The following is a 16,187-nucleotide window of genomic DNA, read 5'->3' on the forward strand; positions in this document are numbered from 1 at the left end:
GGAGTTGGAAGCTGCAGTGAGCTGAGATTGTGCCACTGCACTCCAGCCTGGGGGATGGAGCGAGACCCTGTCTCAAAAACAAAAACAAAACAAAAAAAAAGGGCAGAGGGGAATCACGAGGTCAGGAGTTCGAGACCAGCTTGGCCAACATGGTGAAACCCTGTCTCTATTAAAAATACAAAAATTAGGCCAGGTGCAGTGGCTCACGCCTGTAATCCCAACACTTTGGGAGGCCAAGATGGGTGGATCACCTGAGGTCAGGAGTTAGAGACCAGCCTGGCCAACATGGTGAAACCCCATCTCTATTAAAAATACAAAAATTAGCCGGGCATGGTGGCAGGCACCTGTAGTCCAAGCTACTTGGGAGGCTGAGGCAGAAGAATCGCTTGAACCCAGGAGGCGGAGGTTGCAGTGAGCCGAGATCGTGCCACTGCACTCCAGCCTGGGCGACAGAGTGAGACTCCAGGGCAGAGGAGAAAAGAGAGGGAGAGAGGAAGGGTGGGGATCAGGATGAGGACAGGGAGAGAGACAAGCAGAGAGAGGAGAGGGCAATGTCACAGCAGCCACTAGAACCAAGACCTCCACTGTCCTGGTTCTGTCCTCCTTCCGGTCAGCAGCAACCTGCCATTGGTCATTCCCTGGCCACTTGTGCCCGGTACAAACAACATGTCTGCCCTCCCGAGGCTGGGCCTGCTTCCTAGAGTCTGGGAGTGGAAGACATCACTTGACCAGCTAGGACCCCCTCCGCCCACCACCGTGGTTCCCTGCTTGGGGCAGAGCTGAAACAACTCCCATCCAGCCACATATGCCTTGAATCTTCCCCACAGCTGCCAGGGCCATGGTATCCAGGAGGAGCGAGCATTCGGCCCTCACTGCACTCAGCCCTTCCTGCCTTGCCCAGGCCTATGAAGATGGCCTGTTTCTCCCTCCTTGATGGGGAACGAACCTGCTGGAGACGGGCGCACCTGCTCCCAAGTTCATTGAGAGTGCCAGCGAGGCAGGGGCTTGGACCCAGACCCCTGTGCGCCAGGCCTGCACCCCTCAAACACAGGCTCTGAGCATGTAAGCTATTTTTGTACGCACAGCGAATGTTCATTTTCCTCCTCCGAGGCAGGGCTGTTGAACCTTCTCTTCAGGTCAGGGACCCCTTAGAGAGTCTCATAAGAGCCACTTCCCGGGAAAAATCACACTCGCTCGGCCAAGAGGGGCCCTGCACTCTGAGAGCCTGTGATTTCCTGAAGCGTGAAGTGTTTGGAGGAAGATTAGCCTCTCCCTCCTCCAGAGGCAGAGCTGGGAGGTGGAGGAACCCAGCAGCGGATTCAGGCCTGGGCTGTGGGAGCCCCTCGACCCCCGAATCTCCACCTCCTCCCCTCAGCCCTGCCTGGGTGACATCCTTCCGGGAACCAGGACAAATGGATCAGTCACAGGGTTCCCACTTGGCCTCCCTGCTCATGAAACGACCCCACTCATTCTAATCTCCATCCTCCGGGCTTTTGGGAAGGTGAGAAATGTCTTCTGCCTCTGAAATCTCAGAAGAAATTATTTCCACTCCAGCAGCAGGAAACCCTTTGAGGGAAGAGACGGCTCCATCAGCAAAGAGGCCACAGGATGGAATTGGCCCTGGGGCAGGGGCCTGCCCAGACTCCTCCCAGGCCAGAGAGAGGTGGGCCGGAGGACAACGAGTCCACTCCACAGGGCCCCTGTACTGCATGAGCCGGTGAACAGGCTGCTCACAGACCAGGACCTTGTATCTGTGACCCAGCCAGCAAAGGGTCCCTCAGGGCCCACCCACAGCCATGCATGAGCCTGGGAAATAGGAGCTCCAGCCCAGACTAGGGGGACAGGGTCATCCCCTGGCCTCACCCCAGTTCAGATCACAGCCATATGTAGAGTAAACTTGGGGTACAGGCAAGGCCCTGAGCCCTTCCCAAAGCTGAGGGGAAGTAGGTTTGGCGAGGAGATGCAGGGAAGGTTCTGGAAACCTGGAAGCACACCTCTTGTGTCCTCTCCTTTGGAGACAGTTTGTGGAATCTCTCTGGTAATTTTTTTTTTTTTTTTCTGAGACAGAGTCTCATTCTGTCATCCAGGCTGGAAGGCAGTGGCACGATCTTGGCTCACTGCAACCTCCGTCTCCCTGTTTCAAGCGATTCTCACGCCTTAGCCTCCCTAGTAGCTGGGATTACAGGTGCACACCCCATCACGACTGGCTAATTTTTGTATTTTTTAGTAGAGACAGAGTTTCACCACTTTGGCCAGGCTGGTCTTGAACTCCTGATCTCAGGTGATCCTCCCACCTTGGCCTCCCAAAGTGCTGGAATTACAGGCATGAGTCACCAAGCCCGGCCTCTTTTTTTGTGTGTTTTTTGTTTTTGTTTGTTTGAGACCAAGTCTTACTGTTGCCCAGGCTGGAGTGCAGTGGCAAGATCTTGGCTCACTGCAACCTCTGCCTCCCAGGTTCAAGCAATCCTCCTGCCTCAGCCTCCCAAGTAGCTGGGATTATGGGCATATGCCACCACGCCCTGCTAATTTTTGTATTTTTAGTAGAGATGAGGTTTCACCATGTTGGCCAGGCTGGTCTCAAACTCCTGACCTCAGGTGATCCACTTGCCTCGGCCTCCCAAAGTGCTGGGACTACAGGCTTGAGCCACCGCACCTGGCCAATTCTTTTTTTTTTCTTTTTTTTTTTTAAGAGTTGGGGTCTCGCTCTGTCACCCAGGCTGGAGTGCAGTGGTGCCATCATACCTCACTGCAGCCTAGATGTCCCAGGCTCAGGAGACCCTCCCCCCTCAGCCTCCCAAGTAGCTGGGACCACAGGTTCACCACCACCACACCTGGCTAATGCTAATGTTTAAAATTTTCTGTAGAGACAAGGTCTTGCTCTGTTGCCCAGGCTAGAGTGCAGTGGCATGATCACAGTTCACTGTTGTCTAGAACCCCTAGGCTTAAGCGATCCTCCCATGTCGGCCTCTCAAGTAGCTGGGACTACAGATGGGCACCACCATGCTCAGCTATAGCATGAACTCTGATGGTCAGAAGGGTGAGGAGCCAGAGGCAGGACCCTCCAGGCAGAGAGACCAGCCCAAGACACAAATCTGGGAAGCGTGAGGGACCAAGTCGTAGAGGGTGGGGGCCCTAAATTAGACCAGGGGACATACCCCACATCTTGCCCAAGAGCAGAAGAGTGCCAAAGGGCTGCCGACAGGCTGGTGGGCACACACCAGCTGTGGCCCTGGGGCTCTGGCAGCTGAACAGGTGTCTGTGCCAGCCCAGAGCCCAGACCCTAGGACCAAGCAGATGGTCACAGAGCACTCTCTCTTCTGTGCAAGGCCAAGCCACCACCGGGTACCAGGCTCCATGTGGGGGCACTCCCAAATGACCACCCATCCTTCCATCAGCCCTGGGTGGGCTTTTGCCATTTTACAAGAAATGGGAGGCTCACAGAGGTTGAGAAATGTGATCAAAGACACACAGCATAGCCAGGGGTTGAATCCAGGACTGCTGGGACACCAGGGAAGTGACAGTTTTCAGCAGAGCACACGTGTGTGTGTCTATTGTTGTGAGTGTCTGTGTGAGCCTGGCAGTGGCCACAGGTGTCAGAGCCGACTCCTCCCAGCTCCAAAGACGACTGTGTGCCCTGTCCCCAACTCTGACCTCATAATGATAGCTGGAATCCGGTGGGAATATTGACACCATGGAAATTAGCAACTGCTACAAGTCAGAACGCTGGGTGTGTTAAATACTGACCAGTCCAGCACTGACTGACAAGTGTGTGCATCTACGTGAGATTGAGTGTGTGTCTTTGTATGTGTGTGTCTGGGTCTGTCCATCTGTGCGGTGCCTTTATCTCCTGCTTTGCTCATCTGTCTATCCCTATCTGAATCTGTGTGCACGCCTCTGTGTGTCTGAATGTGTCTGTGTGTGTCTGTGGCTGAGTGTGCTTCAGTGTGTGTGTGTCTTGCATGCATGTGTATGTCTGTGTGTGTCTATGTGTGTGTCCAAGCACATATGCATTTCTGTGTGTGACAGTGTTTTGGGGGTGTTTGTGTGTGTGTGTGTGTCACTGTGTCTGTGTGTGTTCATGTGACTGTGTGGCCTCTCAAACTGAAGATGATGGTTTCAACTGAAATTGAGGCTGACGCTCTCCACTACAAAGCTCAATTTGCTTGCAAATGTCCTTCAAGAGGCAGAGGAGACAGGAGCAGAGGGGGCGGGAGGCAGGAGCCAGACAGACGCAGCGACCGGCAGCAGAAATGACATCACCCGGCAGATTCCAAGAGCGCCCCAAGACCAGTGGGGTGTCACCCACCTGGAGGCACTGTGGATCCTAGAGGAGACTCTGGCAGGCCCCAAACACAGCCCTTGAGGAAGTAGTCATTTGGGAGGATTCGGAGTGATAAAAATATAGTTTGTTGCTTGCGAAAATCACTTGTGACTTAAAAGCGTCTCCCGTTGTCATGGAATTGACAATACCATTGAGGATCAAAGGGACAAGAATAGACGAGGAGCTCTGTTTCCCACTTAACTCCTGGAAGCCTTTTCTCCCAAGCTTCCCACTCTCTCCTCCCTCTGAAGAAGACTCTAGAGGCTGTAGTGCAACCCTCCATCACTCAAAAGCTGGGACGCTCTCTGTTCTGGACAGACACCCCTTGTCAGGAAGAGCCCCACCTCCCCAACCCCAGCCACATGGCTGCCGTCCTGCTGCCCCACCCTCCTGGCCCCGGGCAACCATGTGACCCAAGTTGGGCCAATCAGATTCTCCCCTGGGATTTTTCATATTGAAACCAAGGGAGAAGGGTTGGGCCCTCCTGGGAGATAAAAGTGGGTGGCTGTGTGGGTGGTGGCTGATGCCTGTAATCCCAGCACTTTGGAAGGGCGAAGTGGGAGGATCACTTGAAGTCAGGAGTTCGAGAACAGCCTGGACAACATGGCCCATCTCATAGACTTGATGGCCAAGGCCCCAAGAGGAGGCATGACTTGCCCAAGGCCATACAGTGCAGGGTGCCGGGCGATAAAGTCCCAGAGACACTCTCTTCCTCCTGCAGGTCAAAGCACCAGAATCCAAAGCGCCCTCCGCTCCTGATGGCTCAGAAGGGAGCCACCCCATCAATTATTAAATGTCCTTACAAGCCCAAGAAAACTGAGATGGGACTGGATCAGAAGCCATCAGACCACTCACAACCTTTGGCTAAAAAGGAAAAATTAAGGCCAGGCGCAGTGGCTCACACCTGTATTTCCAACACTTTGGGAGGCTGAGGTGGGTGGATCACTTGAGGTCAGGAGTTCGAGACCAGCCTGGCCAACATAGCAAAACCCAGTCTCTACTAAAAATACAAAAATTAGCCAGGCGTGGTGGTGGGCACTTGTAATTCCAACTACTCGGGAGGCTGAGGCAGGAGAATTGCTTGAACCCGGGATGCAGAGGTTACAGTGAGCTGAGATCACACCACTGCACTCCAGCCTGGGCGACAAGAGCAAAACTCCATCTCAAAAAAAAAAAAAAAAAAAAGGAAACATTAAGTTCATGGGGAGTTAATCCACGTATTGCAGAAGGCAGGAATTCTCAGTGTTTTGGCATCCCTGGGATAACGACAAACTTCGCTTAGAACAAGATGTTGGGAGCCACAGAGCAGTTTCCACGTAGTCCCTTTGACATCTTGGGGGAGTGGGGAGGGTCCTGTGAAATGTGACTCTCACACTCACCTCAGCTCCACAGGCAAGTGCTCCAAGACTTCACAGTTGAACTTTTAGCTAAGGACAGAGTTCTTTCCCAATCTCCCCCATATGCATATTTATTTCACCCAACAAAACCTGACTTTTACACACATTTCATAAAGCAACGCGCATTCTGCATTCCCACGGAATGTTATATTGTGTGCATTGCTTCATCTCACCAGGCTTCCTTTTTAAGAACTTCCCTCTGCCCGAGCGTGGGTGGCTCATGGCTATAATCACAGCACTTTGGGAGGCCAAGGCCGGAGGATGCTTACGTTCTTTATGTTATTTAGCTTGGGCAACATAGTGAGACCCCATCTCTACAAAAACAAAAAGTTAACCAGGCGTGGGGGTGCATGCCTGTTAGCTACTCAGGAGGCTGAGGCAGGAGGATAGCTTGAGTCCAAGAGGTCAAGGCTACAGTGCAGCGAGCTATGATCGCACCACTGCACTCCAGCCTGTGCAAAAGAGTGAGACCCTGACTCTTTTTTTTTTTTGGAGACAGAGTCTAGCTCTGTAGCCCAGCCTAGAATGCAGTGGCAAGACCTCAACTCACTGCAACCTCCACCTCTTGGGTTCAAGCAATTCTCATACCTCAGCCTCCCAAGTAGCTGGGATTACAGATGTGCACCACCACACCCAGCTAATTTTTATATTTTCAGTAAAGGTGGGGTTTCCCTACGTTGGCCAGGCTGGTCTTGAACTCCTGACCTCAAGTGATCTGCTCACCTCGGCCTCCCAAAGTGCTGGAATTACAGGTGTGAGCCACCATGCCCAGCCATACCCTGACTCTTAAAAATGAAATAAAATAAAGTTAATGTTGTAAACATGAAATATGCTGCTCTCAAGAATTGATGTTCAGGCCGGGCATGGTGGCTCATGCCTGTAATCCCAGCACTTTGGGATCCTCCCAGCAGGATGATCACTTGAGCGCAGGAGTTTGAGACTAGCCCAGGCAATATGGTGAAAGCCCATCTCTACAAACCCCACAACAATTAGCCGCGTGTGGTGGCATGGACCTGTGGTCCCAGATACTCGGGAGGCTGAGGTGGGAGGATCACTTGAGTCCAGGAGTTCGAGGCTGCAGTGAGCTATTATGGTACCACTGCATTCCAGCCTGGGAAACAGAGCAAGACCCTGCCTCAAGGCAAAAAAAAAAAAAAAAAAAAGGATGCTGTAGGAGTTAGGACCAGAGAGATGTTGTGCTGTTTTAGGTGAACTTTCGTGTTACTGATGATGAAGTAGAGTATCCAAGAGTGACTCTGCACACCCGAGAAATACCCTGAGTGTGTCCCGTCTCCTGGCAGCTCAGTACCCTTTCTGCTCCACCCCAGGGTCTACGTGGTCATCCCGGGGCCACCACGTTTTATTTGATCATAAAGTTTTTTGGTGGCTCTCGCCTCTCTGAGACCTCAACAGAAAACAGCAGATTGAGATCAGGGTAATTCAAGGAGGGTTATTTACAAAGGGATGGTTCACACGAGGGAGGACAGGGGGTCAGGAACCGCCTGGCACTATGGTGACCTGGGATAGCAGAAAAAAGAGCTGTGACCAGCTGGGCGCAGTGGCTCAAGCCTGTAATCCTAGCACTGTGGGAGGCCAAGGTGGGCGGATTGCCTGAGCTCAGGAGTTTGAGATCAGCCTGGGCAACATGGTGAAACCCCATCTGTACTAAAATACAAAAAAAACAAATTAGCCAGGCATGGCGGCATGTGCCTGTAATCCCAGCTACTCAGGAGGCTGAGGCAGGAGACTTGCTTGAACCAGGGAGGCAGAGGTTGCAGCGAGCCAAGATTGCACCACTGCACTCCAGCCTGGCAACAGAGCAAGACTCCATCTCAATTAAAAAAAAAAAAAAAAAGAGCTGTGGCTGCCCCTAAGCCCAAACCAGTAGGGAAGGACCAGACACCAGAATCTTTTTTTTTTTTTTTGAGACGGAGCCTCACATTCTCACCCAGGCCGGAGTGCAGTGGCGTGATCTCGGCTCACTACAAGCTCCGCCTCCCAGGTTCACGCCATTCTCCTGCCTCAGCCTCCCGAGTAGCTGGGACTACAGGCGCCCGCCATCACACCCAGCTAATTTTTTGTATTTTCAGTAGAGATGGGGTTTCACCATGTTAGCCAGGATGGTCTCAATCTTCTGACCTTGTGATCCTCCCGCCTCAGCCTCCCAAAGTGCTGGGATTACAGGCATGAGCCACCACACCTGGCCTGCATTAGGCTATCTTTGTCTTTTGCTACAAGGAGCTCAGGAGGAGTGTTTTAGACTTTGCTTATTTTCATTACAAAATGTTAAATTATTTCTTCCTTTCAGATATTTCCTGTCGGTATTTTTTTTTTTTTGAGATGGCGTCTCGCTCTGTCACCCAGGTTGGAGTGCAGTGATGTGATCTCAGCTCACTGCAACCTCTGCCTCCCAGGTTTAAGCAATCCTCCTGACTTAGCCTCCCTAGTAGCTGGGATTATAGGCCTGCACCACCATGCCTGGCTAATTTTTGTATTTTTAGTAGAGACGGGTTTTGCCATGTTGGCCAGGCTGGTCTCAAACTCCTGAACTCAAGTGATCTGCCTGCCTTGGCCTCCCAAAGTGCTGGGAAATACAGGCGTGAGCCACCACGCCTGGCCCAAGACACCAGAATCTAGAATGAGAGAGAGGGGCCTTGGGAAGCCGTGACCTATGTCAAGGAACACTCTAGGCAGGGTGACCTCACGGGGAGGGAGTCAGGAGAAGATATGGTTGACTTCGAATCCCTTTCTCGCTCCCTCCAACCCCCTGTTGGTGTCTTCCTTCCATTAGCCAAATCTCACTGGAAGACAGAGGCAGGGAGTCCATTGATGTGGCTCATACAGGGCAGCTCCCCAGGGCACTCAGCAGGGTGGAGAAGGGCAGGGGGAAAACAGAGGATGAAATTTGCAGTCTGGTGACGACCCCTCCCGGGTTATACTGGCCAGTGGCTGCTGAGAGATTTGAGCACCAGGAGCCAGAAGAAACCTCCCGCAGGGCTTGTCTTAGTCCATTTGCTACTGCTACAACTGAATACCTGATGCTGGGTAATTTTTAAAGAAAACGGCGGGGCGCGGTGGCTCATGCCTTTAATCCCAGCACTTTGGGAGGCTGAGGCGGGTGGATCACGAGGTCAAGAGATCGAGACCATCCTGGCTAACACAGTGAAACCCCGTCTCTACTAAAAATACAATAAATTAGCCAGGCGTGGTGGCGGGCGCCTGTAGTCCCAGCTACTCTGGAGGCTGAGGCAGGAGAATGGCATGAACCTGGGAGGCGGAGCTTGCAGTGAGCCCAGATTGTGCCACTGCACTCCAGCCTGGGTGACAGAGCGAGACTCCGTCTCAAAAAAAAAAAAAAGAAAAAAGAAAACTATTTATTTCTTACAGTTCTAGAGGCTGGGAAGTCCAAGGCTGTGGGGCTGTGTCTGGTGAGGACCTTCTTGCTAGTGGGGACTCCTGTCTGCAGAGTCCCAGGGAGGCACAGGGCATCCCATGGTGAGAGGGCTGAGCATCCTATCTCAAATCTCTCTTCTTCTTATAAGGCCACCAATCCCACTCCCATAATAACCCATAATTAATGAATGGATTACTCCATTCGAGAGGGCAGAGCCCGCATGACCCAATCAGCTCTTAAAGGCCCCACCTCTCAATACTGACACATTGGGGATAAATTTCAACATGAGTGTCGGAGAAGACAAACATTCAAACCATAGCAGGGCTTCTTAGTCTTTGGGGGAATCAAGGAGAATTTGATGAAATCCATCGATTCCTCTTCCTGGAAACAGGTACATCCACACTCCTTCAGTTCCAAGTGGCAGAAATGCCACTCATACAGCTTTATGCTAAAAAGGGAATTTACTGGCCCACAGAGTAGGTGTCAGGTAAGGCTAGATCCAGGGTCTCAAGTAACGCTGCCAGGGCTCTGGCTTCATCTGCTGTTCTGTTTGTCTTCATGAACTTCATTCTGCACATAGGTGCTGGGCACATGGCGGACAGGTGTCTATGGCAGCTTGATCTTATCTCCCCAAATTGAGGTGCCATAAAATAAACCCATCCAGGAAGACCTCATAAAAGTTCTAAGGAAGGCTCTGACAGGCCAGGTTCGAGACATATGCCCTTCCCTGACCAACCTCTGTGTTCCAATGGATACTGTCCCATGACTGGCCTCAGTGATGCTTTGGTGACTCACAGCCCTACCTCCCCCCAGGGCGGGTGGGGTGGAAGCTTCCCAAACCAATACACATTATAGCCACTTTGGGAGGCTGAAGCGGCAGATCACAAGGTCAAGAGATTGAGACCATCCTGGCCAACATGGTGAAACCGCCCCCCCTACTAAAAATACAAAAGTTAGCCAGGCGTGGTGGTGTGCACCTGTAGTCCCAGCTGTTGTGTGCAGCCCTCCCCTAAGACACACAACAGCACAGGGACCACAGGCCACCACTCACCCCTTTTCTTTGCAGGTAGAGAAACGGAGCCACAGATCAAGGTCACCCAGTGAGTGAGAAGCAAAGTCTGGAGCTGAGGCAAGTTTTTCAAATTCCTCTTCCAAGGCTTTCTCTTGGAAAGCCCAAAGCTTATTAAATCCTTAAAGGGCATTATCAACGGGACGTGCATTGAGTTTCCTTAATCCTGCAAGAGGATTAGGAGAATTCAGCCAAGATAAGCTCCTTCAGGGACAAACCAGCCGCCTCTCACCAACCCGTGCTCTTAGCGGGCTGGGACAAGCCCCCTCAAGGAGCCTCGACCTTGGGACGCATCCCCACCTCATCAGGCTCACAGCCCATAATTATAATAACCACAGCCGTGTTCAGACAGCCCAGGAAGGCTTCCAAGGGGACTGGTGTTTTTTAGAAGACAAAACAGCAGGAACAAAGATACATAGTCTGAGGCTGGGTGCAGTGTCTCCTGCCTGTAATCCCAGCACTTTGGAAGGCTGAGGCAGGAGGATCACTTGAGCTCAGGAGTTTGAGACAGGGCTGGGCAACATAGTAAGACCCTGTCTCTACAAAAAAATTTTTAAATTGTGTAGCTGGAACTACAGGCATCGTGGCATGTTCCTGTAGTCCCAGCTACTCAGGGAGGCTGAGGCAGGAGAATCACTTGAACCCACGAGTTTGAGGCTGCAGCGAGCTATGATTGTGCCACTGCAGTCCAGCCAGGGCCACAGAGCAAGAGCTTGTCTCTAAAAAGAAGATATGGAGGCTGGAACTTGAGGTCATACCTACCCCTAAATATACAAGGCCTGGGATGAGGGCCAAATTATGAAAGGCTCACACATCATACCTAAGAGTTATAAATCAAGCGGAAAAACTGCTAGGCAAATACATTCTGTCTCATACTTTTCTTTTTTTAATTTTTTTTTTAGAGACAGGGTCTTGCTATGTTGCCCAGGCTGGATTCAAACTCCTAGGCTCAAGCAATCTTCCCAACTCGGCCTTCACCTGAGTAGCTGGGACTAGAGGCAGGCACCCAGCTCCTGTTTCATATCTTTCTTTTTTTCTTTTTCTGTTTCTTTTTTTTTTAATTTGAGATAGGGTCTCGCTTTTGTCATTGGGGCCAGAGTGCAGTGGTACAATCTCAGCTCACTGCAGCCTCTGCCTCCCAGGCTCAAGCAATCCTCCCTCTTCAGCCTCCCAAGTAGCTGGGACTACAGGTGCACGCCACCACGCCCGGCTAACTTTCATATTTATTGTAGAGTTGGGGTTTCACCATGTTGCCCAGACTGTATTCAAATTCTTGGGTTCAAGCCATCCTCCCACCTCAGCTTCCTGAGGCTCTGGGATAAGAGGTGCAAACCACGGCACTGGTCCGTCCGTGGTGGATTTCAAGGTGCCAAGATGACATCACTGGACTTGGATTTGGGGAGAGAACGCAGCCGCATAGCACACTGTCATTTGGCGTTTCCATCCTACAGGGTACCAGGGATGGAAATAACCCGGAGAATGCAGACCCTAGTCACATAATTAGACAGTGATGAATTTTGAGTTTGTATTACCTTTGTATGTTTATTTCATTCCATTTTTAACAATGGCTGGCCAGGCGCGGTGGCTCATGCCTGTAATCCTAGCACTTTGGGAGGCTGAGGTGGGCAGATCACGTGGTCAAGAGATCGAGACCATCCTGGCCAACATGGCGAAACCCCGCCTGTACTAAAAATTCAAAAATTAGCCAGGCGTGGTGGTGCGCACCCGTAGTCCCAGCTACTCAGGAGGCTGAGGCAGGAGAATCACTTGAACCGGGGAGGCAGAGGTTTCAGTGAGCCGAGATCGCACCACTGCACTCCAGCCTGGCGACAGAGCGAGACTCCATCATAAAATAAAAAATAAATAAAATAAAATAAACAGTGGCTGAGTTTAACAACCTTCTCGCAATATTTCTTGAAAATGTGCTAATCGGCTCTCTGGAGCTGCTGGGAGCAGTTCCAGGACAGCACAGAGCTGTTCCCTCCAGCGAAGGAGCCCACGTCCATGTCCACGTCCACTCATGGACAAGGTGACATGCCCCAGCCTCACCAAGGGGCCCGGTGTGGCCAGCAAAGGCCCTGCGTGGGTCAATTTCCACCGAGCGGCCAGATACCCCAGGCGTTTTATTGATCCTATTGGCCACGGCAAATGGCCGCTGGACACCAATTCAGTGCCAGCCTAGGCTCAGGGACTGCCACACGTGGTCCATGTAACTCACAGTTATCCTGTGCCATGGTTACCCCACGTTACAGCTGAGGCCACTGAGGCTCGGCAAGACGAAGGCGCTTGTCTTAGGTCACACGGTTAGGAGGCGGTAAGACTCAGACTAGAAACTCTTCTTCTGTCCTGACTAGGGAAGAAGGGCAAGGTGGGGGAAAGGACACCTGTCCCCAAGGAGCCACCCCTGAGGCCCAGCCTCCAGGGACACTGATGAGGAGCTGAAGAGTCCCAGGTGGGGAGGAGTAATCTCTTTTTCCCTGTCTCCCTCTCTTTCTGCCCCTCCACTTCTCTCTCCCTTTCGCTCCTGTCTCCCTCTGTCTCTCCCTCTCTCTCACACCCCCACTCTCTTTTCCTATCTCTCCCTCCCTCTCTCTCCCTCCCCCCCATCTACCTCTTTTTTTGTTTTTTTGAGACAGAGTCTTGCTTTGTCACCGAGGCTGGAGTACAATGGCGTGATCTCAGCTTACCCCAACCTCCGCCTCCCAGGTTCAAGGGATTCTCCTGCCTCAGCCTCCTGAGTAGCTTGGATTACAGGCACCTGCCACCACGCCCGACTAATTTTTGTATTTTTAGTAGAGATGGGGTTTCACCATGTTGGTCAGGCTGGTCTCGAACTCCTGACCTCAGGTGATCCGCCTACCTCGGCCTCCCAAAGTGCTGGGATTACGGGCACGAGCCAACACACCCAGCCCCCGCTGCCCCTTTTTATCTCTCTGTCTCTGAAATACCCCAGTCAAGGATCCCACCCTGTGTATGGCCCACTGTGTGACCAGCTGCTTGGCAGGGCCTGGGCCGCTGCTCTCAGGGACAGGTGCCCGGCATAGGCGGGGAGGCGCTCTCTCTCGGTTTACTTTTCTACAGCATACATTTCTGGATTGGTGAAATATTATCTTTGTCTTTAGAGGGAACAATAAAGCTATTTTCAGCTTGGGAACAAATGCGTCCAATGGTAAATAAACCCCCAATGCCGGTGCTGGGCAGGCGGGTGCTGTCGTCACAGTGGAGGCCGCCAGCCTTCCTTCCCAGGAAGGGCTTGGTCTCAGGGTGGGGGCACAGAAAGGATGTACGGAGCCCAGGAGCAGAGGGGCAGGAGGGGAAAGGAGACAGGGAGCATCCTGGAATCACGAGGCTGGACAGACCCGCAGGTTTTACGGATCCAGACACTGAGGCCCAGAGAGGGTGAGCACCCTGCCCCAGGACACACAGCCTGCAGGTGCCTGGTCCCACTTCCTGGAGCTCTGCCGGGCACCACGGCTCCAGGGAGTGCTCCGGTGTTTTCCCAGCACTTGGCAACAGATGGCTCCAACTCTCACCCACGGACGCCAAACATTTTCCCTGGTTACCCTGCTAATTTGCTCACAGCCTCCTCTTGTAAATAGAGAGTACAAAGGCTCCTCCGAGTAGTGTGTATGCCGGGCAGACGCTGATGCCACGGGGAGAGGCCTTAGAAGGAGCATAGGAAAGTCCCAGGTAAGAACTAGGTAAGGCCCAGGTAAGGCCAGGATCCTTGGCTGACCTGGGGTCGTGGGAAGGACAGTGGCTCGGGGCCCAGGCAGACCTGGTTCAGGTCTTGGCTCTGTGCTCCCTTGGAGCCCGGCTGGGAATCTTGCACTGGCCTCAGGCCCTCTGGCATCAGTTTTCTCATCTGTGAAATGGGCACGTTAATGCCAAAGGCGTAAAACAGGAGCTATTATGTAGGTGCTCAGGGACTGGATGAATCTGTGGGAATCTAGCCATCCTTCCTGCCTTCATCTGGGGTCAACAGGGTGGCGGCTGCACCCTGGGCAGCATCCCTGCCCCTCCGTCCCCAACAGTAGTCCCTTCACCCAGCCCTTTTGACAGAATTCTTTCAACAACACTTATCAGGTCCTCCTCAGTACCCAGCCCTGTCACGAGGCCCAGAGAGGAGCTGATTCAAGCTTCCACACCGGGTGGCCTTGGGCAGCTGCCTTCACTTCTCTGGGCCTCATTCCCTTGAGCCTCCCACAGAGGTCACAGGGAGGATTCCATGAGATGATGTGTGCTCAGGGTGCTCAGAGTCACTCCTACCATGCAGCAGTCAGGGAAGGCTTCCTGGAGGAGGCAACACTAGTCCTTACACCTTACAGATGCATGGGCATGATTGGGTATGGCTGGTGCTTCCAGTGGGGGTTGGGTGGGGAGGCACCTCATAGGCTCAGGCAGGGCCTGGGGTGCCCAGCTGCATGGAGGGGTTTGGAGCCGGCTGGAAAGGGGACTCCAGGCTGACCTCGGGTCCCTTGGGCCTCCCTTCCCCATAACCTCCTTCACAGCAGCCCAGCTGATAATGAAGTGCTCCTTCTAGCCGACAGCTCCTGGAGCTGGGCCAGGAGGCTCCTCCTGTCCTGGGCCTGCCTCCAGCTGCTGCCCACAGTCCCAGAAAGACTTTACCGCACCTCTCCGGCCTGGGGTGTCCTGGGGGATGAAGCTCCAGGAGGCCACCTATGGCTTGGGGCCCCAGTCCCAGAAGCCTGGCCTGGGGCGCACCTCTCTGGTCTTCAGGAAGAGGGGCCTGGAATGAGAGTGGGGGCGTCCAGTGGGGCAGCTTAACCGGGCAGGGCTGATGGGACCGCGGGCTGGGGAGGGACCGGGGCCTGGGGAGGAACCAGAATCTGCCTGGCCTCACTGTGTGACTTGGGTGAGCTCCTCTACCTCTCTGAGCCTGGGCTTCCCATCTGTCTGGGATGTCTCCCCTCCTGTAGTCACTGTGAGGTTCTGAGCAGAGGACACTCTTAGCCCAGAGCCTGGCGCATAGCTGGTGCGGTGAGCGCCAGCCCCTCCCTGTTCCTGCAGAGCCCTGCCGTTCAGCGCACACAGGCTGCCTTGCCCTCTCCAGAGAGGATCATGGGGCTTAATTTGTTGATTGAATTTGCTTGTTTGGCCCAGATGGTTGGGTCTCGTTTTCTTTTTTTCTTTCTTTTTTTTGGAGACGGAGTCTTGCTCCATCACCTGGGCTGAAGTGCAGTGGCATGATCTCGGCTCACTGCAACCTCCGCCTCCTGTGTACAAGCGATTCTCCTGCCTCAGCCTCCCAAGTACCTGGGATTACAGGCACGCACCACCATGCCTGGCTAATTTTTGTATTTTTGGTAGGGATGGGGTTTCGCCACGTTGGCCAGGCTGGTCTCAAACTCCTGACCTCAGGTGATCCACCCACCTCGGCCTCCCAAAGTCCTGAGATTACAAGCATGAGCCACCACGCCTGGCCGTGGGTCTCGTTTTCTCTTGCAAGTTTGACTCCATGGTGCCTGAATGCAGGGGAAGCAGGTGGTGTCCTGTCCCGGCAAAGGCAGACATGGGGCTGACACAGAACGGCCCAGGGACTCTGATCCTGGGGCTCAGCGAGTTTGCAAGGGGTGTTTCTGTCCATGGTCAGGCTTGCCAGCCTTGGTCCTTGGGCCCACCATAAGGTGGCCCAGTCCTGACCCTGTCTTGGAATTGCTGAGAGCAGAAATGCAGTAATGTGTCACCATGATGATGTCTGGTGTCATGCTATCAGACCCACCATTCCTCAGTGGGACCCCTGCCTCACCACTCACCAGCTGGCTCCCTGGTCTGCAAAAGGTGGTTCACTGGTACCCAGGTCCCTGTGCGAATGAGAGGAGCTGACTTCTATGAAAGCCACTCCCTGCACCCAGGGAGACTAAGGAGGTGGGAGGCTCTCGTCCCCTGAAAGCCCAGCCAGCCAGCCCCCTCTCCTTCTGCCTCCCCAGGGAACCGTGTCCTGAGCAGGGCCCTTCACCCCATCTCTGTCTGATCTCCACTGCG

The 16,187-nt window shown here is 53.3% G+C and overlaps 1 non-coding gene across 1 annotated transcript; it reads left to right on the plus strand.

Moving 5' to 3' along the window:
• The first annotated feature begins 15,741 nt into the window (after window positions 1-15,741).
• MIR4283-2 (microRNA 4283-2) lies at window positions 15,742-15,821 on the plus strand. Its single transcript, NR_036270.1, has one exon. It is a non-coding gene; the product is annotated as a microRNA 4283-2 (primary transcript).
• The last annotated feature ends 366 nt before the right edge of the window (window positions 15,822-16,187 follow it).

Source organism: Homo sapiens, chromosome 7 (genome assembly GCF_000001405.40).
Source record: "Homo sapiens chromosome 7, GRCh38.p14 Primary Assembly".
Taxonomy (NCBI): Eukaryota; Metazoa; Chordata; class Mammalia; order Primates; family Hominidae; genus Homo; species Homo sapiens.